Source organism: Homo sapiens, chromosome 11 (genome assembly GCF_000001405.40).
Source record: "Homo sapiens chromosome 11, GRCh38.p14 Primary Assembly".
NCBI classification, from domain to species: domain Eukaryota; kingdom Metazoa; phylum Chordata; class Mammalia; order Primates; family Hominidae; genus Homo; species Homo sapiens.
In genome coordinates, this window is record NC_000011.10 from 26,302,076 (window position 1) to 26,328,059 (window position 25,984).

General features: G+C 36.2%; 1 protein-coding gene across 1 annotated transcript in view; it reads left to right on the forward strand.

The window, feature by feature from the left end:
- ANO3 (anoctamin 3) overlaps positions 1–25,984 on the forward strand; it is a 474,482-nt gene that overhangs the window by 113,268 nt on the left and 335,230 nt on the right. The window contains exon 2 of the mRNA NM_001313726.2: positions 7,570–7,644. Within this exon, the coding sequence (NP_001300655.1) occupies positions 7,570–7,644 (75 nt within the window). The remainder of the gene's footprint in view (positions 1–7,569; positions 7,645–25,984) is intronic.

Sequence of the window (25,984 nt, forward strand, 5' to 3'; positions counted from 1 at the left end):
TTCCAGTCATCATGTGCTGTCTGTCTCATATAATTTCTTATACATAAACTGAATTTTATCTGGTTCTTTGGAGAAGTGAGGAGAATAGCTAATTCATAAAAAGTGGTTAGTGTATGAGAGTTTATTTAAGAAAAATGATGGCCAGGTGCGGTGGCTCACGACTGTAATCCCAGCACTTTGGGAGGCCGAGGCAGGTGGATCACGAGGTCAAGAGATTGAGAATATTCTGGCCAACACGGTGAAACCCCGTCTTTACTAAAAATACAAAAAATAGCTGGGCATGGTGACGCACGCCTGTAATGCCAGTTACTCAGGAGGCTGAGGCAGGAGAATCGCTTGAACCTGGGAGGCAGTGGTTGCAGTGAGGTGAGATGGCGCCACTGCACTTCAGCCTGGCAACAGAGTGAGACTCTGTCTCAAAATAATAATGATAATAAAAAGGAAAAATGACAGAAGTCAAAAGAATGCCTCCGATTATTTCAGTGAATAAACTAACGGCCTTAAACAAATATTACTTTCAAACTATTTATATATTTACCATTATAGAAAAAATATAAATAACAAAGTACAAATGCATAAATACTGGGATGTGTTGAAAGTACACAGAGAAAGAAATAACATGCCTTATATCTTATTATTTGAAAATCAGCACTTTTAATATTCTGTAATATATTTTCAGCTTTTGTATGGACATATATATGTGTTTAGAAATTATGATGCTATCACGCAAAAACTATTAGCACCAGTAATATATAAAATTTCCTAGTAACTTAAACCAACAAGCAAAAAACAAATAACCCTATTAATAATGGGCAAAGGAAATGAATAGACATTTTTTAAAAGTAGCCAACAAACATATGAAAAAATCCTCAACATCACTAATCATCAGAGAAATGCAAATCAAAACCACAATGAAATGCCATCTTGCATCAATCAGAATGGTTATAATTAAAAAGTAAAACAATAACAAATGCTAGTGAGGCTTCAGATAAAAGGGAACACTTATACACTGTTGGTGGAAATGTCAATTAGTTCAGCCACTGTGGAAAACAGTTTGGAGATTTCTCGAAGAACTGAAAACAGAACCACCATTTGACCCAGCTATCCCATTACTGGGCATATAGCCAAAGGAAAATAAATCGTTCTGCCAAAAAGATGCATGCAGTTGTATGTTCATCACAGCGCTATTGACAATGGAAATGACATGAGATCAACCTAGGTGTCTTTCAATGGTGGACTGATTTAAAAAAAAAATGTGGTATATATACACCATACAATACTACACAGCCATAAAATGAATGAAATTATGCCCTTCGCAGCAACAAAGATGCAACTGGAGGCCATTATCCTGAGCGAACTAATGCAGGAACAGAAAACCAAGTACTTTGTGTTCTCATTTATGAATGGGAGCTAAGTATCAAGTACATATGGACACAAAGATGGAAACAATAGACACTGGGGACTATTAAGAGGGAGACGGAGGAAGGAACGCATGGACTGAAAAACTGCCTATTGAGTACTATGCTCACTACCTAGCTGATGGGATCATCCATATCCCAAACCTCAGCATCATGCAATATACCCATGTAACAAACCTACAAATGTACCACTTGAATCTAAAATAAAAGTTGAAATTATTATTGTTATTATTTTATTTATTTTTAGATGGAGTCTAGCACTGTCACCCAGGCTGGAGTGCAGTGGCATGATCTCGGCTCACTGCAAACTCTGCCTCCCAGGTTCAAGTGATTCTCCTGCCTCAGCCTCCCAAGTAGCTGAGACTACAGGTGCCTGCCACCATACCTGGCTAATTTTTGTATTTTTAGTAGAGTAGGGGTTTCACCACTTTGGCGGGTCTCGATCTCTTGACCTCGTGATCCACCTGCCTCAGCCTCCCAAAGTGCTAGGATTACAGGCGTGAGCCATCGTGCACGGCCAAAATTATTTTTTTAAGTTTCTTGTGATCAAATCTTAAGTAATATCAAATAATATTCACTTTGGCTTTTATAATATGTTGATTGAATGGTATTATATTCTTGTTTTGATTCATTTTCTTCGATTACTACTAAGGATTAATATTTTTCATATGTACATAATTTAATATTTTCATATTTACAATTTTCATTTGAAATAGAGGAAGCTTTTTATTTAGGCTTTTTTCAGTGACTTCAACTTATTACTCTTTAAATAGTATGTTGAGTACCTATAGCAATGGCAAATGTAGATTGTCCTCTACATAATGCTTTAAAAGCATTAAGGATTTATATGTAATATAACTAGGACCTAGTGAGGAGTACTAATTGCCTTTTTACCCACTAAATTCATGTTATTTATTATTTAAAGGCCATTTTCTCAAATTGCAAACACTTATTTAACTTTTTTTAAAAATTACCTCCCAAAGACACTGTACACAGGTAACCACAGTTACAGTTTAATGTATGTATCCCTTCTTATTCTTTCCCATTTATCTAATATAGATAAATAAATACAATAGGGGAGATTGCAAATAAGTCATAGTACAGCCATTTGATAACTTATTTTTTCACTTAAGGATATATAATAATATTTCACCATATCAGTACATATAGAACCACCTCATTTTTTACTAGCTCCATAAGATTGTAAAATTATGTTATACAAGTTTTCTTAGGATTTGTGTTCAATTTTTCAATGTTACACATAGTATGGCAACAAACATCAGTTAATCCATCTTTCTGGCTTTGTGCATGTATACCGAAAAGAGAGATTCCCAGAAGTGAGATTACTGAGTTAGAGTGAATATGTATTTTAAGTTTTTAAATTTCTACCAAATTGCTCTCCAACCAAGACTGGTCACTCATGTTATTATCTGCATTATGACTTTGTGAAAGGTCAGGTTGAAGAAGATTTGATAATAAACATATTATTATCCCAATTAAAGGACTTGAAAACTGCTTTTTTTTAAAAAAAAGAAAAGGGTCCAGTTCGATCTTCTCATTTTACAGAGATAGAAATTAAGAAAAAGTGAACTCTTCACAGTTATCCAATTAGATGTTTATGAATTACTTTTATTCCAAACCGATTCATTAGCTCCCTACAAGGCAAAAAAAAAAAAAAAGTAATATTCCACATAAACAACTTTGGTTCTAATAAAGACATTTTATTGTAGGTTGTCTTTCAGCATTGATAATGCATGATTCAATCTGGTTTAGATGTCTTTATTTATTGAGTCAGCGTATGATTAAAGGCAACTTTGAAAAGTCTCAGCTTTTCATTCAAACAACTTCTGACATTGGCTGGCCTTCCTTCCCAAAACTCATTCAAGATGACATGTAGCTCCTTTGATGATATTGGCACCCAGATCTGTTAACTTATTTAAGGAACTTTAATCGGATTAGCATGGGGTTTTTCCACCGAGACAGAAGAGAGACCTAATGTTTGTCTTATTCATAAATCCTGATAAAAGAGGGTTTTCAGAGGAATAGCAAATTTGATAAGTGATATTCAACAAGTAGTCTGCAGAGACTTTTTCTCAGAAACCAATATTTTAATGAAATATTTCAATTCACTTTTATGTTTCTAAAGATGAACTAATCTTACATAACTACTTTCAGAGTTCTTCATTAAATTATATTTATTTTTTCATACAAGAGTTGAATCATTTGGCCAGATATAAATCCTGATATGGAAACTAGCATTTTGAAATTGATATAGTTATACCCAGTAAACATGCTCCTCAACTGCATTTAGTATGTAGGGCTCGCTCATTATGGAGTTGAAAATATATTTTGTTTCAAATACTCCATTGATAGCTCTTCACTGGTTTATTGGTTTCTCTTTTATATTCTGCCAACCAGCTGTAGGTGTGGGCTAAGAATTTGTCTTCCTCCCTGCACTTTATTCTTCCTATTCTTCTTAAGACAGAGTCTCGCTTCTCGCTGTCGCCCAGGCTGGAGTGCAGTGGCGCGATCTCGGCTCACTGCAAGCTCCGCCTCCCAGGTTCACGCCATTCTCCTGCCTCAGCCTCCAGAGTAGCTGGGACTACAGGCGCCCGCCACCAAGCCCGGATAATTTTTTTTTTTTTTTTTTTTTTGTATTTTTGGTAGAGACGGGGTTTCACCGTGTTAGCCAGGATGGTCTCGATCTCCTGACCTCGTGATCAGCCCGCCTCGGCCTCCCAAAGTGCTGGGATTATAGGCGTGAGCCACCGCTCCCGGCCTATTCTTCCTATTCTTGTCTTTCAAGAACTTAATCCTTATATAGATTCAGCCTTCACCTTTGCATAATATCCCAATCTGTATCTCCTAACCTTACCTCTCTCCAAGGCTCCCGAATGCATGGATAGAATTGTCCCAAACTCAAGGACAGGTATGGTGGTTCACACTTATAATCTCAGCACTTTGGGAGGCTGACCAGCCTGGGCAATATAGGGAGACCTCGTCTCTACAAAAAATAAAAAATTAGCCAGGTGCAGTGGTGTGCACCTGTGGTCCCAGCTACTTGGGAGGCTGAGGTGGGAGGATCACTGAAGCCTTGGAGGTCAAGGCTGCAGTGAGCCCTGATTGTGCCACCACACTCCAGCCTGGATGACAGAGTGAGATCCTGTCTCTAAAAAAAAAGAAAACATATTTTTTAAAAACCGGAATTGCCCCCAAAATCAGTAGTCTGGAATGGGGCTATCACATCTCATACCAGCATGACCTTCTTCCCTGCATTCCTAACTTTGTCAATGGAAAACATGTGTGAGGTCTCCTAAGTATGAAATATTATGAAATATGATCTCCTTCTATCTCTGTCTCTATTCTTTACTTTCTAGCCAACTGGGTAATTTGAGGTTTCTTTTGTAATGTTACCCATATATTCTATTTACAATGCCACAACCTTTATTGAAGCTTCAGTCTACTTTTTAAAATTCCCATATAATCTATGGGGCCTTAAACTATGACTTTTTTTTTTACAATCTTCTACACATAAATGTTAGATTAATTTTCCCAAAATGTACTTTTAATAAATAGGGTTGGCTGGGTATGGTGACTCATGCCTGTAATCCCAGCACTTTGGGAGGCCGAGGCAGGCGGATCACGAGGTCAGGAGTTTGAGACCAGCCTAGCCAACATAGTAAAACCCCGCCTCTACTAAAAATACAAAAATTAGCCAGTCGTGGTGGCACATATCTCTAGTCCCAGCTACTTGGGAAGATGAGGCAGGAGAATCGCTTCAACCCAGGAGACGGAGGTTGCAGTAAGCTAAGATTGCGTCATTGCACTCCAGCCTGGGCAACAAGAGCAAAACTCTGTCTCAAAATAAATAAGTAAAGGGTCTCTTTTTTAATGTCCTCCAGATGTAGTTAATAATTTAATGAGGGGCTGGGTGCCGTGGCTCACGCCTGTAATCCCAGCACTTTGGGAGGCTGAGGCAGGCCGATCACCTAAGGTCAGGAGTTCGAGACCAGCCTGGCCAATATGGTGAAATGTCTCTACTAAAAATTTAAATGTCTCTACTAAAACTGCAAAAATTAGCCAGACATGGTGGCACATGCCTGTAGTCCCAGCTACTCAGGAGGCTGAGGCAGGAGAATCACTTGAATCCAGGAGGTGGAGGTCGCAGTGAGCAGAGATGTCATCACTGCACTGTAGCCTGGGCAACAAGAGCGAAACTCCGTCTCTAAATAATAATAATAATAATAATAATAATAATAATAATAACAATTTAATGAAAAAGACAAAATTATTTAGTTTTGTTCACCATCACATGATTGAATTGCACTACGTGTTTTCAGCTTTCTTATAATTATGCCTTTTCTGCATCTGCCTAGGGTTCTGTGAACAGGCTTCTCTAACCCCATTTTCCTCTCCTTCATCTCACAAAGTCTTTGTCTATTCTGATTTTACACTTCACTCATTATTTCTCACACCTGAAGTTACCTTGTAATTTCCTTGGTCTACCCAAATCCTTCTACTTTTGGAGTTCAGCTTGCTTTCCATCTTTAACTGAAGATATTTAGTTCAAATTTATTATGGCTTTTCTGAACATCTGGTCTTAGTCTCCTCAAAATCATTTTATCTGTTTTATCATGTTGATGGCACAATTGGCAAATCTAAATATCTTTCTGCAAAGACACAAAAGTGTTAGACAAGAAAAAACAATGAAGAGACCTGGATTCAAGTTTTCTCTCTGTGACTTCCAAGATGCACATCTCCTAATAATTCCCTTACACATACTGGGTCTCAGTTTGCTTATCTGTGAAATAAGGATTGGATTAGATCGTCCTCAAGGTTCCTTTCAGTTTACATTCCATAAACTTATATTTAAGGGGATTTCATACAATTTAGTACAGAATTCACTCAACCATTATAAAATACACTCTACTATTATAAATGAAGTAGACTGCACATCATTATTCATTTATCTGGCAAGCAAGTTTATACTCTTATAAAAGTATTTAAGCAGATATTTTACAGAATTTTTTTTCTGTTATTACATAAAACTAATTTTATTCAATTGGCAGGCTACTTAAAAAGTGAGGTTAAATATATCATGTATCAATTGAATAAGCTTAGGCAACTTATATTAAAATGAAAACAAAACCTTGTTAAATACAAGGTACTTTGTCAAACATTTGGGAACAGGGAAAAGAATACAGAAATGAATTCAAAGATATGGTATCCACCGTTAAGGAACTGATTGTCTAATGAGGGAGGCAGAGAAATAAAGGAATTACTATAATTATGGGCAGAAAAAGTTGTTGATTGCTACCACTTGCTGAATACTTACTATGAACCAGGATCTATCCCAGGGATTTAGCATGCACAAAAGCTAAACAGCCTATGCACATTTTTATTTTTACAGCATTTCAAGGTAGTTCTTATTATTATTTCTATTTTGCAGGAGAAAGAAAAACTGAGGTCAGAGTTTTTAATCTCCCTAAGTTCATATAGTTAGAGTGATGGGAATGTAGTCTCCACTGCATTTTACTAGGTAACATTTCAGGATTGCACACATTTCCATAGAAAAGCTTTTTTAATAGGAATGATTGTTCCTAAGTGGAGGTGTCACTTAAAAAGTTGTCTTTCTAAGAGTTGAATCATAAGAGTAGACTTTCCATTGACTTGTTAGATAAAGAAGGCATTCTAGACACAGACAACAGGCTGAGCAGAGGTTAGAAAGGATAGGTTATGCTCAATAATTCCGGTGATTTAGCATGCCTATGAAAAAGATCAGAGTGAGCAAAGGAAAAGGTACAGCCTCCGAGTTTGGGGGTGCAGAATATTAGAAGAGTGTGTTACCCACCCTAGGAAAATGTAATTGGAAAATCTGTCCATTCTAAGCTGTTTCAAAGATGACAGCTAAATCAGCTTGCATAACAGTGAATAGAACCTACCCACCTGCTTAGTTTCTAATGCAATTTACTGAAAATTGTATCTTCCTACACACTTCTTCAGAACTAATTTGGCCTATATCAGATAGTAGTTATACTGCAGCTATAGTCAACATGAAAAGCTCTTCTTTTCCATGATAATTTTCTACTCTCTTTCTGGTCTACTGAGTTTCTGAGCAATTTTTATTTTTCTCTTTTGTTCTCTCTCACAGGTCTGCAAAAGTTGTGCTTTTCTCATCGTGAGCTTGAGAAGAGTGTGTGGGCTGCCAAAGGCAAATATAATGAAGGTGAGTCTTGGGGATGGTGTTTCAAGAGCTCCCACCAACTCTGTTCTTCAATATAATGTGGTAGCAACTCCAGAGTCTTTACAGGGGGGGTGAAAATTTAACGCAAATTTAGTCTCATGTTAATAATTACCATATGTGACATTTAGCTCATCATGCACTTTGCAAAGCATATTCACATATGTAATTTATTTTTATCCTAAGCTTCTAATAAAAACGCATTTACTTATAAATGTCTCATACAAGAGCTCACATACAAAAACATTTGCACCATTTAAGAAAGTATTTACCTTCCAAAATAACTGTGCAATCTCAGTAAGCATTAATAAATTAATCAGCAAAAGGCCCTACACAAATCATTTGATATACACATACTTACATTACATACTTTTAAAAAAGGTAATGTAGATTTTATATGATAATCATTTATATATGTGCAAAGATAGCTACATATATAAAATAGCAAACAGCCATAAAATCCCTGAATAGTTAGCAATAAACCAACCTATAATAGATGAAATCAGATAAATGCAAAATGTACTTAGCAGTCAACTTCTTTTTGAGGCCCGCTTTTCAAGAGAGAGAGCAATTCTATTGGTTAACCAATTGATTGGTTATTGGTTAACTGAGTTAATCAATTACATTATCAAGGTTAGACGGAGAATAGATCATTCAGAAGGTAGCTATTCACATGAGAAAACATAAAATAGAGAGTTAAACATTGGCCATACTTGCAGGAGAATTTTTTCATAGAAGAGTTTACTTTAGTCCAAGAGTTCCTTCTGCCTGAATACCAAACTGAGAGGTGTACATTGGACTACCATAGCCTAATGCTATTAACTTTTTAAATCATATGACTGACTCGCCTTGCCTTGATTCTGGCATAAATCTCTGGTTTCACTGTTTTCTAGTCTGCACCCATGTGTGTGTTGTGTGAATATGTGTGTTTTGGAAATGTATGTGCTACATAGACACTATAACTGCCAGTCCCCACAGCAGTACTATTTTTCATGACATAAGAATAATTTTATTAGTATTATATTGGTATTATAGTATATTCTGTGAACTTGTTTACCATGAGTCTACCTTAGGAAAAGCTTCTGCTTCCTTCTGCCAAAGTCAGATTTCGGAGACGGTAACTGAAGATCAATCTCTCACCATACACACAGTAAAAGCCACTTGGGATGCCTAGAAGCAACTGGTAAACCAGATTTTCTCTGGCATAAACTTTGCTATTATTTTTTTTCTTTACTATTTTATCCCTCATTGCTTTGCCTCTAAATGGCTTTCTCATATTAAATAATACATACAGGTCATTATCAGAAGTTTCTTCATACTCAAAGAAAGGTGGTTTACGGAATGGAAATTAGAAAGGAGAAATGGGGAATCAATGAAGTGAGTAAAAACAGATTCTGGGATAACATTAAGGACAATGAGAATATTCAAAGAAATTGGTATTTATGAAATTATTCTTATGTGTCAGGTACTGTATTTGGTTCATTGACTAAGTCTATTGTGTGGATTTATTGACTCTTCCCAACAACTCTATGAGGCCAGTGCTACTACTAGGATTAGATGAATGAGGACTAGACATGTGAAGTAACGAGTAACTAGTGTTCTAGCTGCTTCTGCCCTCACGAAGGCCTGACCGGGACTTGAACCCACATCTGTCTCCTGAAGAGACAGAGCTCTTCATGATTCACAGATATTGGCATAAGCCTTGAAACTAGTGAAATATAAAATTCCCATTGACTATGAAATTTAGGATTAGAATTGTTAGAAAGCAGTATTTTTACGTTGTCTCCAGACCTGTCCTAGAAAACATATACTCACATGATAGGTCACCCAACTTCTGTGTGTAGGTGAAGATATTACTAAAGAGGAGAAGGATAAGTTGCTAGGCAGCTCTAAGTTGACTTTTCAAAAACAATTCACAGTTTTACAGAGGTCCTTAGTTTTATTGAAAGCCCATGACTGCTGTGTACAGTAGAGCACCAATTATCTCCTGTACTCTGATATGTCTTTCTGTCTTAATTTAAGCCAAATTTTTAACTGTGGGGAGATTCATGTGAGTTTTCTAGGGAATTGATCCATATTTCCCTCTTAACTGATTAAAAGCCTTCTCTTGTTTTTTAAAAAACTTTTTATTATACTTTAAGTTCTAGGGTACATGTGCACAATGTGCAGGTTTGTTAAATACGTATACATGTGCCACGTTGGTGTGCTGCACCCATTAACTGGTCATTTACATTAGGTATATCTCCTAATTCTATCCCTCCGCTCTCCCCCAACCCCACAACAGGCCCCGGTGTGTGATGTTCCCCACCCGGTGTCCAAGTATTCTCACAATTCCCACCTATGAGTGAGAGCATGCAGTGTTTGGTTTTCTGTCCTTGCGATAGTTTGCTCAGAATGATGGTTTCCAGTTTCATCCATGTTCCTACAAAGGACATGAACTCATCCTTTTTTATGGCTGCATAGTATTCCATGGTGTATATGTGCCACATTTTCTTAATCCAGTCTATCATTGATGGACATTTGGGTTGGTTCCAAGTCTTTGCTATTGTGAATAGTGCTGAAATAAACATGCGTTTGCATGTGTCTTTATAGCAGCATGATTTGTAATCCTTTGGGCATATACCCAGTAATGGGATGGCTGGGTCAAATGATATTTCTAGTTCTGGATCCTTGAGGAATTGCCACATTGTCTTCCACAATGGTTGAACTAGTTTACAGTCCCACCAACAGTGTAAAAGTGTTCCTATTTCTCCACATCCTCTCCAGCACCTGTTGTTTCTTGACTTTTTAATGATCACCATTCTAACTGGTGTGAGATGGTATCTCATTATGGTTTTGATTTGCATTTCTCTGATGGTCAGTGATGATGAGAATTTTTTCATGTGTCTGTTGGCTGCATAAATGTCTTGTTTTGAGAAGTGTCTGTTCATATCATTCACCCACTTTTTGATGGGGTTGAATTTTCTTGTAAATTTGTTTAAGTTATTTGTAGATTCTGGATATTAGCCCTTTGTCAGATAGGTAGATTGTAAAAATTTTCTCCCATTCTGTAGTTTGCCTGTTCACTCTGATGGTAGTTTCTTTTGCTGTGCAGAGGCTCTTTAGTTTAATTAGATCTCATTTGTCAATTTCGAAAGGCTTCTCTTCTTTTAGCACAGATCTTATTTTCATGAACATGGTAAATAATTAAATATCATGTAAATATACTATTCCATCATTTGCTTTGGAAATTCTGTTTAAATGAATTCCAAATTCTTCAGAGAGAGTGTACTTTAATCTTTATTGTTTCAAATCAGTTGTTCCTATTGCTGTTTTGTTCTTATAATGCAACCTAGAAAGATCCAATCTTTGCACAAGTCATTTTATTCGTTGGATAAAAGGTGAGTACCTAGCATATCGATGCAAAATATATTTTGTACCTAGCATATCAGTACAAAATATGTTCAATAGAGTGTCTTCTTTTCTTAGGACATGTGTCCATTCATTTATTCATTTATTGCACCATTGCTGTGAATCTTTTTTGTAACAGACACTGAGCAAAGTGTGAGAGTACATGAAAAGGCTCTGAAAAGAACATTGGATTCAAAATTAGAAGAATCAATATTAAATTAGGTGCAGTAACGTAATTTCTTAGAGTCTCTTAATTTTTATTAGAAAAATACAGGTGATAGGCCAGGCATGGTGGCTCACGCCTCTAATCCCAGCACTTTGGGAGGCTGAGGCAGGTGGATCATGAGGTCAAGAGCTCGAGACCATCCTGGCCAACATGGTGAAACCCTGTCTCTACTAAAAATACAAAAAAATTAGCTGGGCGTGGTGGTGCGTGCCTATAGTCCCTGCTACTTGGGAGGCGGAGGCAGGAAAATTGCTTGAATCCAGGAGGCAGAGGTTGCAGTGAGCTGAGATCATGCCATTGCACTCCAGCCTGGTGATGAAGCAAGACTGTGTCTCAAAAAAAAATAAAAAAAGAAAGAAAGAAAATTACAGGTGATAATACATAGTTCACAAATGTAGATTATGTGTAAGTACTGGAAGAGTTACTGAATTAGAAAACAATTTGTTAAATGCTATGTAAATGTATGCTTTTTGTGATTACATTATAACAAAAAGTCTTAATATTTAAATGAAATTAAATATTATAATATAATATAATATAATATAATAAAAAGAGAGTACCTAAAAAAGAAAGAGATAGAGACAGAAGTGAGCATGACTGCCAGGGTTTTTCTCAACATGAAAAGTTCAGTAGAAGAAAAATGCATAAGTGCTTATAATAAAAGGCAATACATGTTTGTCCCTAGAGAGGAATACAGTGTTGTGGGCCCACAATGGAGAGAGAGTTTAATTTCAATGTGGCAAATTCAGTAAGGCCTTATCAAGAGAGTAGCCTTTATACCAGGCCTTGAAATGGAAATTGCTCGCCAGCATGCCATGTTTTCCGTCTTATAAGACAGCTGAGAAGAGGGGTTATAGAGCTATTACTGCACGGCAATCATCTTCCTGGACTTTTGAGTCCGATTATCTGCATACAAATCTTAGTTATGCATTTTCCAGCTGCATGATTTTACATATGTTACTTAATTCAACTGTTTCCCAATTTCCTCATTTATAAATTTGTGAAAACATTACTGATCTTATAAAGATAGTATTAGGATTGAGATAAGTGCTTAGCATACTAAAAATCTCATTAAATATTAGTTGCTGTTATTCTACTCATTACTGCTTTTTCATTGTAAATGGGGTAATATACAAAATTCCTGTGGCCAAAAATGGATTGGCGAGGATGCTGTGGAGAGATGTGAGGCAGTGCCCTATGATTATAAGTGAGAAAGGCAAGTCAGCCAACCTTCCCCTCCTTCTTTTTCTTTCTTTGTCTTCTTCTGTATATTAGTTTCTAGAACCAGGTTTGTCTGGAGCCTCTTGCTGTCATCCCACTCTGTTGGGCAAAGATGTTGGTCCTTCCTCTCTTTGAGACCCCAGGGTCTCAGGGCTCAGGAAACATAATAAATATGTGAAATAATGATAAATTGATCCAAGTCAGATTAGTAATGACTTAATAGGTTTTTCTCTTATCTCTATTTTCAACAAGAGGTGTTCAGTAAATGTGAGTCAAAGAAGCAAGATATAAAGACTTTATCTGGGTAATCTAATCAACCTCCCAAACTGAGAAGCATGCTCCATTAATATAGACCCTTCTCCATCATCATCAAGCCATTCAGCATTGCATAGTTATGTGTAGTTGATAAGTTATATTGTTATTGCTGGGTTTAATCCCAATAGTTTTATGAGTAAATATTATTGTTTTTATTTTACATCTAATATTTTCTTTCCATAAATCCTAGGTAGGTCTATATTATGTATATTCTCAGAAAAAAAAACAGCTGTAGATGATTACATCTATGTATGGCATTCAGATGAAGAGCAATTCATCTTGTTTTCTATCAGTCCAAAAATATCTGTGTATTACCTATTATTTCCTATCTAATTATCAGTCCATAAAAATCCACTTCGGGTGAGCAGCTCAGAGTCCATCCTCTTTTTCTAGACTCCAGTGATTTCCCCTCAATTCTCCTCAGTTTTTCTAATCTTCTGCTCTCCATCTTGTTTCTGGCAGCACTCTGAAAGTCTCTGCTGCAAGTTGCTGGGAGGAGATTTACCTGAAGCTTAGAATATCTAATGCTTTCAGGGTCTAGGCAGAACATGTGGGTGAATTAGGCAGGCAGTCCATGCTATCCCTTGGGGAAGAATAAATATAATTAACCCTCAAATTTAGGAGAAGTATAATGAACTAGAGATAAAATTAGAAAGAATTGACTGTTCAGTTCTACTTGATCGTTGACAAGTGGGAATAAAGTTTCACTTTTAAGAGATATTCTCTTTTTTTTTTCAAGAGAAATTGCAAATCTGGACCTATCTATCTGTCTGTCTATCTATCTATCTATCTATCTATCCATCTATCTATCTATCTATCTATCTACCTACCTACCTATCTACCTACCTACCTAGCTATCTCACTTTAGAATATTGGAGATGCTTTTGAATCATTTAAATAAATATTCTGTAGACCAAATAAGACAACCCAAAAGCCAGATTTGTCTCATGTTCATCAACTTAAAACCACTGCCTTATAACCTTAAAATGTTTGATAGAGGGAAAGATAAACAAAACATAGCCCTATTAATATTGACTCTACCTCATAGAGTAATTAATTAATTATGCCAATTATGTCTCCACTCTTTTACTAAAGACCTATCCTCTCCACTGGGGTTGAGGGTGAGAACAGAAGGGGTAAATAGGAAATAGAATTATCTCCTACTACACACAAATGAGGTATGTGTTTGTGGCTGCATATTTACCCTAGATGTGGTCTGCATAGTTCCCAGTTATTGCGGGATCTGGCCAGCAGCCCTTAATGCAATGGGGCTCTTTCTTTGTTCCCAGGCAGATCTGCAGGTCGAGAAATAAAAGACACACACAAGATAGTGAAAGCTGGGTCCAGGGGTGTCACCGCCTTCTGGTCCTGCGATGCCACCAATGCACTGGATATACCAGCATTTATTCAGTTTAGTGAGGGCAGGGGTAGGTTAGTGAGGGATTTAGGGTCATTTGATTATGAGGTGAGATGGTCCCATGGGATGAAGTAATTCTTTAACATATCATCGGTATGCATAAGTACAGTATACAGAGATAAGAATTTACAATATAGTGTGTGCATCAGCAATTTCTAACAGAGCCTTAAAACAGAAACACAGTCTATCCATAAGCTATTTTTAGTAAGACACTAATCAGTAGTAATAATTGCAGCAAAAGCTGGTTGCAAACAATCAATAGAAGCAGGAAGTGAAACTAGACAACCGGTTAGACCACAAATTCTCAGAAGGGAGTATGTCTTAACCCTAAAGAGACCTACAAGAGCCGTGGCAAGGTAAGTGTGTTTATAGCCCTATCTTATCCATATGAACAGGTGCCCCCTCATGTGTCCGTTTATAGACTCTCCACAAGGGTCGCATTCCATCCCCAGAGCTATGAACATCTGCTTTTCTGGGATAGGAATCTTGGTGATGTGAAACCTCACTGACTGCATGTCCGTTCATAGGCTCTCTGCAGGGGGAAGCACATCACGCAGTGTTGGCTCATTCTGGCAGCCCAACCTTGCATTGTCTTTACACAATCCTACATGCAACTTTGTATTTACAATAATCAGGAGCATTTCATCTTTTATTCCATAGCAATAGTTTCAGGGGGTCCCCCTACACCTAGTTGGCCAGAGACAATCCTTATTTATGCCTGTGGTCGCATTCAGTGTAATAACTAATAGCAATCCCTTTCATGTTCAAAGGTATGCCTGTTAGGAAAATAAATTATAAGGTAACACTAGTTCTGGGTAGCACACTGTCGTAGCTAGTCTCAGTGTGAAATAACATGGATGCAGAGGGACAGGTAAAAAATTGCTAGGTGCTATACGAGATAAGTTGTTACAGAGTTCAGACTCAAGGTCAGGTTCACCTATTCAGAATGCTTCCTACAATCCAGGCTGTTTTGAAATGTATATTAAGAGCTGGCAGAAACTATCATCAGAGTGAGCAGGCAACCTACAGAATGGGAGAAAATTTTTGCAATCTATCCATCTGACAAAGGGCTAATATCCAGGATCTACAAGGAACTTAAATAAATTTACAAGAAAAAAAAAACAACCCCATCAAAAAGTCGGCAAAGGATATGAACAGACACTTCTCAAAAGAAGACATTTATGCGGCCAACAAACATGAAAAAAGCTCATCATCACTGGTCATTACAGAAACGCAAATCAAAACCACAATGAGGTACCATCTCATGCCAGTCAGAATGGTGATCATTAAACAGTCAGGAAACAACAGATGCTGGAGAGGATGTGAAGAAATAGGAACGCTTTTACACTGTTGGTAGGGGTGTAAATTAGTTCAACCATTGTGGAAGACAGTGTGGAGATTCCTCAAGGATCTAGAACCAGAAATACCATTTGACCCAGCAATCCCATTACTGGGTATATACCCAAAGGATTATAAATCATGTGACTATAAAGACACATGCATACGTATGTTTATTGCAGCACTGTTCACAATAGCAAAGACTTGGAACCAACCCAAATGCCCATCAATGATAGACTGCATAAAGAAAATGTGGCAGATATACACCATTGAATACTATGCATCCATAAAAAAGGATGAGTTCATGTCCTTTGCAGGCACATGGATGAAGCTGGAAACCATCATTCTCAGCAAACTAACACAAGAACAGAAAACCAAACACCACATGTTCTCACTCATAAGTGGGAGTTGAACAATGAGAACACATGGACACAGGGAGGGGAACATCACACACCAGGGCCTGTCAGGGAGTTGGGGGCTAGGGGAGGGATAGCATTAGGAGAAATACCTAATGTAGATGACAGGTTGATGGGTGCCGCAAACCACCGCAGCACGTGTATAACTATGTAACAAACCTGCATGTTCTGCACATGTACCCCAGAACTTAAAGTATAATTAAAAATGTATATTAAGCCTCAGAGTCCTATTTTACAGATATTAGAACCAAGGCTGAGAGAAATACAATGTACTCAGGCACATTCCATAGCAATTAACAGAATGCAATTTTAACTAAGGTCTTCTGAGGTCATGGCTGCATACTTTCTCAGCTGCATCCATGTTTGGAAACCAGACTAAGCATTATGCTGTATAGAACAATCACCATCCAAAAGGTACAATTTGGTGATGCATCTGTTAAAAGAAATAGAAACTTAGAATAGGACTAATCGGTAGGGAGACACGACTGACAGCATAAAAGAATCAGAGAACAATTCGTGGTTCTATATAATTAAGTGCTAAATTATTTAGTAAGGATAAAGAAGTTTGGAAGAGACTTTGTGTGGGCTGGTGTATTCAGAGGAGAGATGACACATCAACTGGTCCTTGGAGAACTTGTATGATGTGCATCAGGTGGAGAACATTCCAAAAAGAGGAAACAAAAGGAGGTATTTTGGATTATTTTTATGAGGCACATCTAGGAATATATTTTGACCCAAGTTGAGGGTTCCTACTGAGGAATATGGATAAATCTGGTGGATAAATTATGTTGGGCTAAATATATAAGAATTTGTTTTAATGTTTAGTTTTGTTTTACCCATACATATACATAATTTTACACAAGTGTGTATATGTGGCAATACATCTTCTTTTGAATATATAGTTGTTTTCTTCCCCTAGCCCTTTGTATTTTTTTCTGAGACAGGGTCTTACTCTGTTGCCCAGGCTGGAGTGGAATGTCAGGGCCACGGCTCACTGTAGCCTCAAGCTCCCAGGCTCACATGACCCTCCCACCTCAGCCTCCAACGTAGCTGGAACTACAGGTGTGTGCCACTACTTCCAGATAACATTATTATTATTATTATTATCGTTATTATTATTTTGTAGAGACAGGGTCTTTCTATGATGCCAGGGATAGTCTGGAACTTCTGGACTCAAGTGATCCTCCCACCTCGGCCTCCCAAAGTGCTAGGATTACAGGCATGAGCCACTGTGCCTGGCTTTTTCCCTTTTTTGACTCCCCTTTTTCCCTCTCTTCTTCCATCCTCCCATCTTAACCTGCCCACCCAAGTTAATAACCTAGTATGTAACTTTCTATATGTTTTCTACCTCCTCAAATAATTGGACAGACTTCATGGTAGGATAAACCATCATTAACTATATCGTTGGGTATTAATTTTGTCTCCATTGTTTTGCTGCCAAGAAAAATGACTCAGTAAACACCTTGACATACGGGTCATCACTTATGGCTGCTTTGTTTGTATGGCATAGACATCCAGGAGATGGATTATTGGTTAACATTGTCTCTAACACTTTATAGTGCCAAATCAATGTATGATAAAATGCCTTTGTTAACATATCCTATAAAAATAGGTATCATGGCTCCTTTTCATTTTTGCTAATGAGAAAAGCTTTTAAAGATACCTTGTTATTTTAACTTATATTTCTATGACTTCCAGAGAAAAACATTTTACCACCTTATTTATTTATTTTTTATTAGAATTTGACAATGTTTTTAAAACACTTTATTTTTTTAAAAATATTTCTTTCTATTTTATTTTTATCAATGTACAATCAAGGCAGCAGAATAATAACTATTTTAAGTATTGTAGAAGAAGGTCTTTATTTTAGGACTAAGAACTTACCCAGTTGTAAGATTTGTGAGACAATGAGAATCCAAAAGAGAAAGCAGGAGGATCAGAGAAATGTCACGAACCAGCCCTTCTGAAACACTGGTGTGGCAGACAAATCAGAGCTTCCAGTGAATCTGGAGTGAGTGAGATTATGATGCAATGCTGATGGGGCAGCCTATGGACAAGCTATTGCCTCTCTACCTCCTGCTGGGCTGGAGTTCCTGTAGAGAAAAAGAGCTGGACACAGTGCTGGGAAGAACAAGTTCTAACTAGAATCTATCTTCCTCTCTCATGTTGTTAGTATTATTCTCTAATTACTCCTAAACAAAATGACCTTCAGAGTATAACGTCTGCTGCATCCCTTCAGCTTCCCAAGTCTTGCGCAAATTCTCTTTTGATTAGCTTTAACCTGAAACCACAAAGGGAAGGAGATTCTGGAGAACATAGTTAGAGTTTAGCAAAGTTGACACAGAGCAGATATGACAAAACACACAACCAATTTTCATAAATGTCCACAAACTACAAAGATGTTGTATGCTCTTAAAAACTTCTGTTAAATGAACAGAATGTAGAAAGTAATCTAGATCTTCGTTTACTTTTTACTATACTCTATTTAAAAATTTAGATGTATATATTGTTTCCTATTGTATTTGCAATTTATTAATTTCTTGGTTGTCTAATAGTTTACTTTTATATTAAATGCTGTATGGTTTAGTGCATAAAATATATGATGTTATATCTTATTTATAAATTACACTCCTACCTTTACATAATGTTTCTGTTTAACATTTTAGTTCTTCTAATGTGAAATTTTACCTTGATTAATATTAATATTACCATTTCTGATTACTGTTTTGTTTGCATTTACCTGGAATCACTTTGACCACTGCTTTATTATCTTGCCTTAAATATTTTTATTTCTACCAATGTACATATCTTGATTTAATCTAATTTAGCTCTCTGTATTTTAGTAGAAAACAATGCATCTGTTTATATTTTGAGTAGTGGCTGATATGCTTGGCTGGATTCATTCCATCTTGCTTTGCACTTTTTACTTCTTTCTCATTGATGACCACATGTTTTCCTTTTCCTTATTGTTCCTGGCCTGGTTTAATCAAGATGCAATATATTTCATTTGTTTTCTCCTTGGACAATGTACTGTTTTCTCATTTATTACATATTACTTTTATTTTCTTTGTTCTCATAATCAAATAATTTAAATAAAACTATTTTGTCATCAAGATGCATGCTTCTATTTCCCTCCTACTTGATCCCTCCCCAATAAAAGGAAATCTTGAGTATTTTAACTTTTTACTTTTTCTTTCTTATCCCTCATCCCCTTGATAGACTTCCGTAACATTTTTACATCCCCTACTCCCAACCACCTGGATTTGCTGAGAGAATTGACAACAAACTAGAATTTATTTAACAGTGTTCCTTTTCTTTTCAGTATCTTTTTTGGCTCTTATATTAAGTTCCCCTGGAAAGTGTATTATTATTCCCTTGCACTTAGATAAATAAATAGATACAATTTTGATATTAGTATATTTTACTCATAAATCTTGGAGTCTGTCTTCTGATTTGTTTTTTGACTAGATTTTTTTCTAATCTATTTTAATAAAACAAGTTCTATAAGCTATATATTCCTCAAATTATTACAAATTCTCAAATGTCTTCCTACACTCAAGAATAAATTATGTCTCATCTGGCCATGTGATTCTGGGATGTAGTCATCTTTTATCAGCAATCTGAAGAAGCTATTCTAGCTTCCAGCATGGCAAATAAGAAGTCTGATGTCAATCTCCTTCCTGTTTCCCTTCAATTATATTTTATTAGTTTCACTTGCAGTCCTATAAAATTCCTTAGTGGTCAGGAATTTTACAAGATATGTCAGGATAAGTGTCTTTTCTTAACCTAGTCTATGTTCAAGGAAGCTTTATCTTTATTTGTGAGAAATTTTCTTCTATCATTGTTTAATTATTGCTATACTTTCAGTGTTTATTCTTCTTGCTTTTCACAGCATTTTCATTACTCCAACAACAGTGTTCATGGTTCCATTCCTCAAGCTTTTTTATATTTCATCCTATCATGTCTTCTTATAATGTTATTTGTCTGTGTGATGATTCTTACTTTTGATCCTCTAGATCACTCATTTGGTTCTAACTATGAATCTTTCCTTCAGTTTATGTACCGCATTTTTTTAGCTGCAAAACCATGGTATTTAGCTCCAGAAAATCTTCTTATTACTTGTACTTGAATATAATTGAAGACCTGATTTTTTACTAATATACTCATTTTTAAGAACAGTTTTAAACTTATAAAAACATTGAGTGAATAATACAGAGAATTTCCATATACCTCTCTCCCTGCACAATTTCCTTTATTATTAACATCTTAATATTTGTATGTTTGTTACAGCTGATGAACCAGTATTCATACATTATTATCAACTAAAGCCTATAGTTTATTCATATTTTCTTTATTATCACCTCATCTCTTTTCTGTTCCAGGATCTCATATTGGTTAGTCCATTACATGCAGTTGTCATGTCTCTTTAGGCTCCTCTTGACTTGACAGTTTCTCAGACTTTCCTGCTTTTTGATGACATTGACAGTTTTAAGGATTATTGGTCAGGTATATTATAGCATACTCCTCTAATAGTATTTCTTATGGTTAGAAAGGAATTATCAGTTTTGGGGAGGTACACAGAAAGAATGTGCCATTTTCACCACATCATATGAAAGGTACATATGATCAATTAGATTTATGGCTGTTGATGTTGACCTTAGTCACCTGGCTGAAGTAATGTTTATCAGGTTTCTCTACTGTAAAGGTAGTGTTCTTCCCCTTTCCCATACTGTACTCATAAGAGGGAAGTCACTGTATTTAGCTCATACTAAGGAATAGGGAGTTATGCTTCTCCTCTTTTAGGGTAGAGTGGTTACGTCATTTATTTGGAATTGTTCTGCATGGGACATTTGTCTTTTCTTCCCCATTTATTTAGTCAATTACTTATGTCATCATGGACTCATGGATATATATTTTACACTTTAGGTTATAATACAATATTACTTCATTTATTTTGGTGCCAAAATTTTCTCATCTGTGACCACTGAGACCTCTTTCCATTGGTTTCTGTGACCCCTTTGACTGCTTTCATCAATTTTGTGTGTGTGTTTTTTAACCACTTTCTTACTTTCTGGGACTTCAAGATGCTCAAGGCTCAACTGGTATATCCCCTGCCCTAGACCTGAAATCATCTATTTATCCAAAGAACCCTGGGTCCTTTTACTGGAGAAAGGTATCAGAAACTAAAATATGGGGTGCTAGGTGCTATTAGGGTCTTGTTTATTTTAGCTTCTCTTGAGTACATTTTTAAAAACTATTTAAGGCTGAATATCTGCTTTGGCAGTTTTGTTTTACTGTGTATGCATTTTGATCTGTCTGATTTCCCTATTTCTGACCACTGGAATCCTTTGGATGGATTCTCCCCCCAGACTTACTGGGATTGTGGGCTTACTGTGGTTGAATATTAAATGGCTGGATAAATTGCTTGGGGTTTTGAATGGGAAGGAGCATCTTTTCTTATGGGTCTGTGATTCAAGAGACGTTGGTCCTTGTTTAAGAATTTATATTAGCCATTTCAAAACACGTGGGCTTCCTGTGCTCTCCTAGCCTCAGAGGAAGTACAGACTCAATGTGCCTGCAGAACCAACACTTGAACACAAGAGAATCAAGAATAGAAGAAAATAACTTCCAGAATTATGGAGTAAGGACCTAAAACGATTTCTCTTCCATTAAAGCAAAGAAAATACTGGCAAAAATTGACAAATTAATTCTTAGAATTCTGGAAATCAATCCAAAGCTTTCAACAATTCAATGTGTTTATTTAGAAAAAAAAGCTGAATTGTGATAATAATACCCTTTGTGACATTTTAATTTCCCATATTCCCATCTCCATCTTACCAGCTCTGTGATACTCTTGAAAACCAGTAGACTTAGAAACACAGTAGCTGTGAAAACCAGCTGCCTAGCAGCACATGCTCCATCTCCAGAGAAATGTCATTATTTGACCTATCTGTTAAAGCCACATTCACAAGGTTTATGTTTATCTGATCTGACTCAGAGCTTGGTAGATAAGAAAAGCCCTACCTTAAGAGTATTTCTCAAAAACAATTGGAGGCAATATTTAACATCACAGCTGACTGAGGTGGCAATAGCAATTGAGGTAAATAAGAGGCTAACTGAAAAATGTAAAAGAAAAATCTGGCAATGAGCTGTTCATAGGTAACTTTGAAAAGTTTTGACATATTTTTGGATATCTAAATAACCACATGTTTGTGGAGCTGGGCATATGCCCAGAAAAGACCCTATCTCTCACTTCAGCTGACCTTGAGACTGTGCAAGCCGGAAGTGAAGGTGTAGGCAAAGTTGTACATTGCCTGCCAGATGTACCCCAAAATACACACTGAGACCCTCAGCAAGAAGTGGAAGATTTAATTGTATCACAACATTTAAGGAAATGTCTATCAAATTAGCTGACTACTAAGAAATTGAAAGACACGCCAATGACTGGACAACACAAAGAATATACACTTTTAAAAATGAGCCCAAGCCAAAATTAGTTATTAAATAAACACTCATCAACAAAGGCAACAACCAAAATCTGTATTAGCCAATGTTTTCTAGAGAAACTGAACCAATCAGATGTATATATAGTGAACACTTTATTTTAAGGGATTGGCTCACGTGGGGGCTGGTAAGCCAAAATTTTGCAGTGCCAGCCAGTAGGCTGGGAACCCAAGGAAGAGCTGATGTTTCAATCTTGAGTCCAAAGGCAGTCTGGAAACATGTAACAACGAAAATACACAAAATACTAATATTACCGTTAGGTACTCCTAATCAAATATTTATATGAGGCAAGTTTCTGGGTGATCACGTATTAAATACCTTAAAAAATATTTTAGTGAAATGAATAGGTATAATTAAATTGATTGGTTGCTCCTGATTGCACTGAACCCATGGGAAAGGAAAAGGATGAGCTCAAGGATTCAATTTCCTGGTAACAAAATCTGATTTGGGAACTGGAAAATGCAGTCACTAGAGTTAACATGCAAACTTTCCTGAAAGGGACCATATACAAACCCTTGTTTTTATTGTGCAAAATGTAATGCTATAAATTTTTTTCCAAATGTTCCACCATTGTTTTACAATAAAACCACGAATATGGAAGACTTGACGCTTCAAACACTTAGGGCTTATGTCACCAGTTGCTATCTTTTCCTAACGTAATTACAAAGATGCGCAGGGTATTTTTTTGGCATAAAGCTTGCAATAACTAAAAATATATATCCTAGCTGAATTTTGCACATAGATTCCAGTGTATATTTGTTAACTATACTGAAAAGAAAATACACAGCTTTCTCCTGTTACTTAGAGGAATTATAGTAAGGAAGTAAGAATAATTTTATTTGATATAAAATATGTTTTACTGAATATTTTCCAAGGCAACATTATATGATTAACTATTCAGTGATATTAAATATGGATTTATTTAGATTTACTTTAATGAATCTAAAGACTGTAGTTGGAAGATTAATTATTGATACATAAATGGTTTCAAGTCATCAATATTTATTTTCATAAGTAAATTAAATACTTCAAAAATCTTTTCATCCTAAGACTTGTTTTGTCAAGCTATTTGTCCCTTCATTATATCACAATGTTTGATTTCAAATCCCATTCAAGTTCAGATTGCTACAAAGCTTCTAACTGTATATTTGGATCAGTGAGGATTTCCTTTACTATTTTCACTATTTTCCTTTAGAGGGGAAAAAGGAATAACCCCTGGTCAAACCAGCCATAAAGATTATATTTCTGAAGCCAGAGTGCGTGAAATTCTCTTCCAGCAAAGCTTAGAATATGAGGAGATGGAACGACCGTTAGAGAACATCTAAGTCATCAGTCTTATTACAGGTTAGAGACCTAGATCCAAGGAGGCAAACTTATTTTCCCACAGTTAGACAGCATGCTAGGACACAGAGTCTATGATCTAGAATCCCAAAGCAATGCACTCTTTCCACATATCTCTGCTAAGTCAAGAAGAGGCCCTCCATGACCAAGTGCTGATTTTTTTCAGTTTCAAATCTGTGTTATTATTGGATTAAAATGGCATATAAAACCATTTCCTATCAAGTAATTTAAACATAGTTATCATTTTTCCCTTTTTACATTTATTTTTATAACATAAATAATGCATATTTGATGGTTAGAATGACCACATAACTTACTGTCCAAACCAGCACACTTTTTAAAAGTTTGAGGCTATTAATAATTACACTGAGATAAAAGGCAACCCAGAACATAAAGCCACTCTATGAATGAATGGACAATAAAATTAAGGTATCAGTAAGCAAAATGAAAAAATAAACCTTTTCGCCCCATCTCCTCCATCTAGACTTAGCTATATTTTGAATTTTATCATTATGGATGTATCTATGCACGTACTTTTTTGCCAAAAGGATCAATATTTTTTGCAGTCTGCTTTTATCAACGAATAATGTATTAGAATCATTTTTCTCAGTAAATAAATATTCATGCACACTCAACGTTTGAATGATTGCTTAGCATTGTGTTGTTACTCTTATAACCGGCCTGGTCATGTTCAAATAGAGACCACACTGTTCACTCAATTAGTCACCCTAACTTCTGGGGGTCAAGTATATATTATCTCTGGAAAGTAAATATATAACTACAAAGGTTACCTCCATTTCCATCTTTCTACAAACACCTAAACAACCAAAAATACACAGGCCTAGACCAGTCAGGCAGAGGCCAAGCTATCAGAAGAGACATTAGCAACAAGTAACTAGTACAATCACACCCAGGATACTTGCTGAGTATCAGCTTTGATCAAAAGCATGGCAATTCACCAAAATAAGGTAAAGTTGTTGATATTACCAGAGTATCAGTTTAAGAGCTTATAAAGTTGGGCAGAGCCTGGCTAATAAATCAACAATTATTACATTCTTATGTTGTCAAACCAGTACAGCAAGATGAGTCTTTATGAAATTATCTGCCTAGAAGAAATAAAGTCATGAAGCTATGCAAATCTACAGACTTGTACGTAAATTTCAAAGTGCAATTAGCACACTGAAATTTGTTTGAATGTCTTATTACTAGATTACTTTCACAAATAATAAAGAGTAGTTGAGGATTATGGAAAGCCATTCATTCAGCAAATATTTATTTGCTCAGCTTTTATGTGTCAATCATCTTTTCGGCACCATGACAAATAGAAAAGTGAGTCAACCTGAAGTCTATTTTAAAGGATTTCTTCTTGACTGGTAGAAAAGTATGCGCCTACTTTCAAAAGCATACATGTATAATGCATGGTAGAAACATTATGAAAATGCCATTAAGTGATGTTATTCATGCTCGATGGAAATTGGAGAAGGCTAAATCTACATCTAACTGGCTTTGTACTCAGTAGATGTAGATGTGGATAAAATATATCTTCATACAAGAAATGTCATTGCTCCCTGAAGGAGTTTTAGGACAATCATTCCCAGTGGAGAAAACAGCAGCAGCAGCAGCAAAAGCAGACCAATAAGGAAGAAAGCAATATAGGATTAAAAGAGTTTGTAAAAGGGTCTTTGAAACAATATTGGAAAGTGCTGCAAGAAAATATGGAGCCCCTTGAATGGTAAAGCAGTGAACATGGACTTGATGATTTTTGTTTAAATAAATTAAATTGTCTATTTTTAATAACATTATTGAAGTATGATTGATATACAAAGAACTGCACATACTTAATGTACGATGAGTTTGAACATATGCAAACACCTGTCATGCAATCACTACAATCAAGGCAACAAACATATCCACAGGATGTATGGGACAAGGTAGCTGATGACAGATTAAACAACATGGATTTAATCCTATAGGCAACTTGAAATAATTATTCAGATTTTCAGCAGGGTTCTAAGATATGAACTGCTGTTTAACCCATCATCACCTCCTTTGTCCCACACATCTCCCTTCTCTTGATGCTGTCTTCTTACACAAATCATTTTGTGTTCCTGTCTCTTCAAAATGCCATGTGCTCCAAGCACTTGAGAATTAATTTTT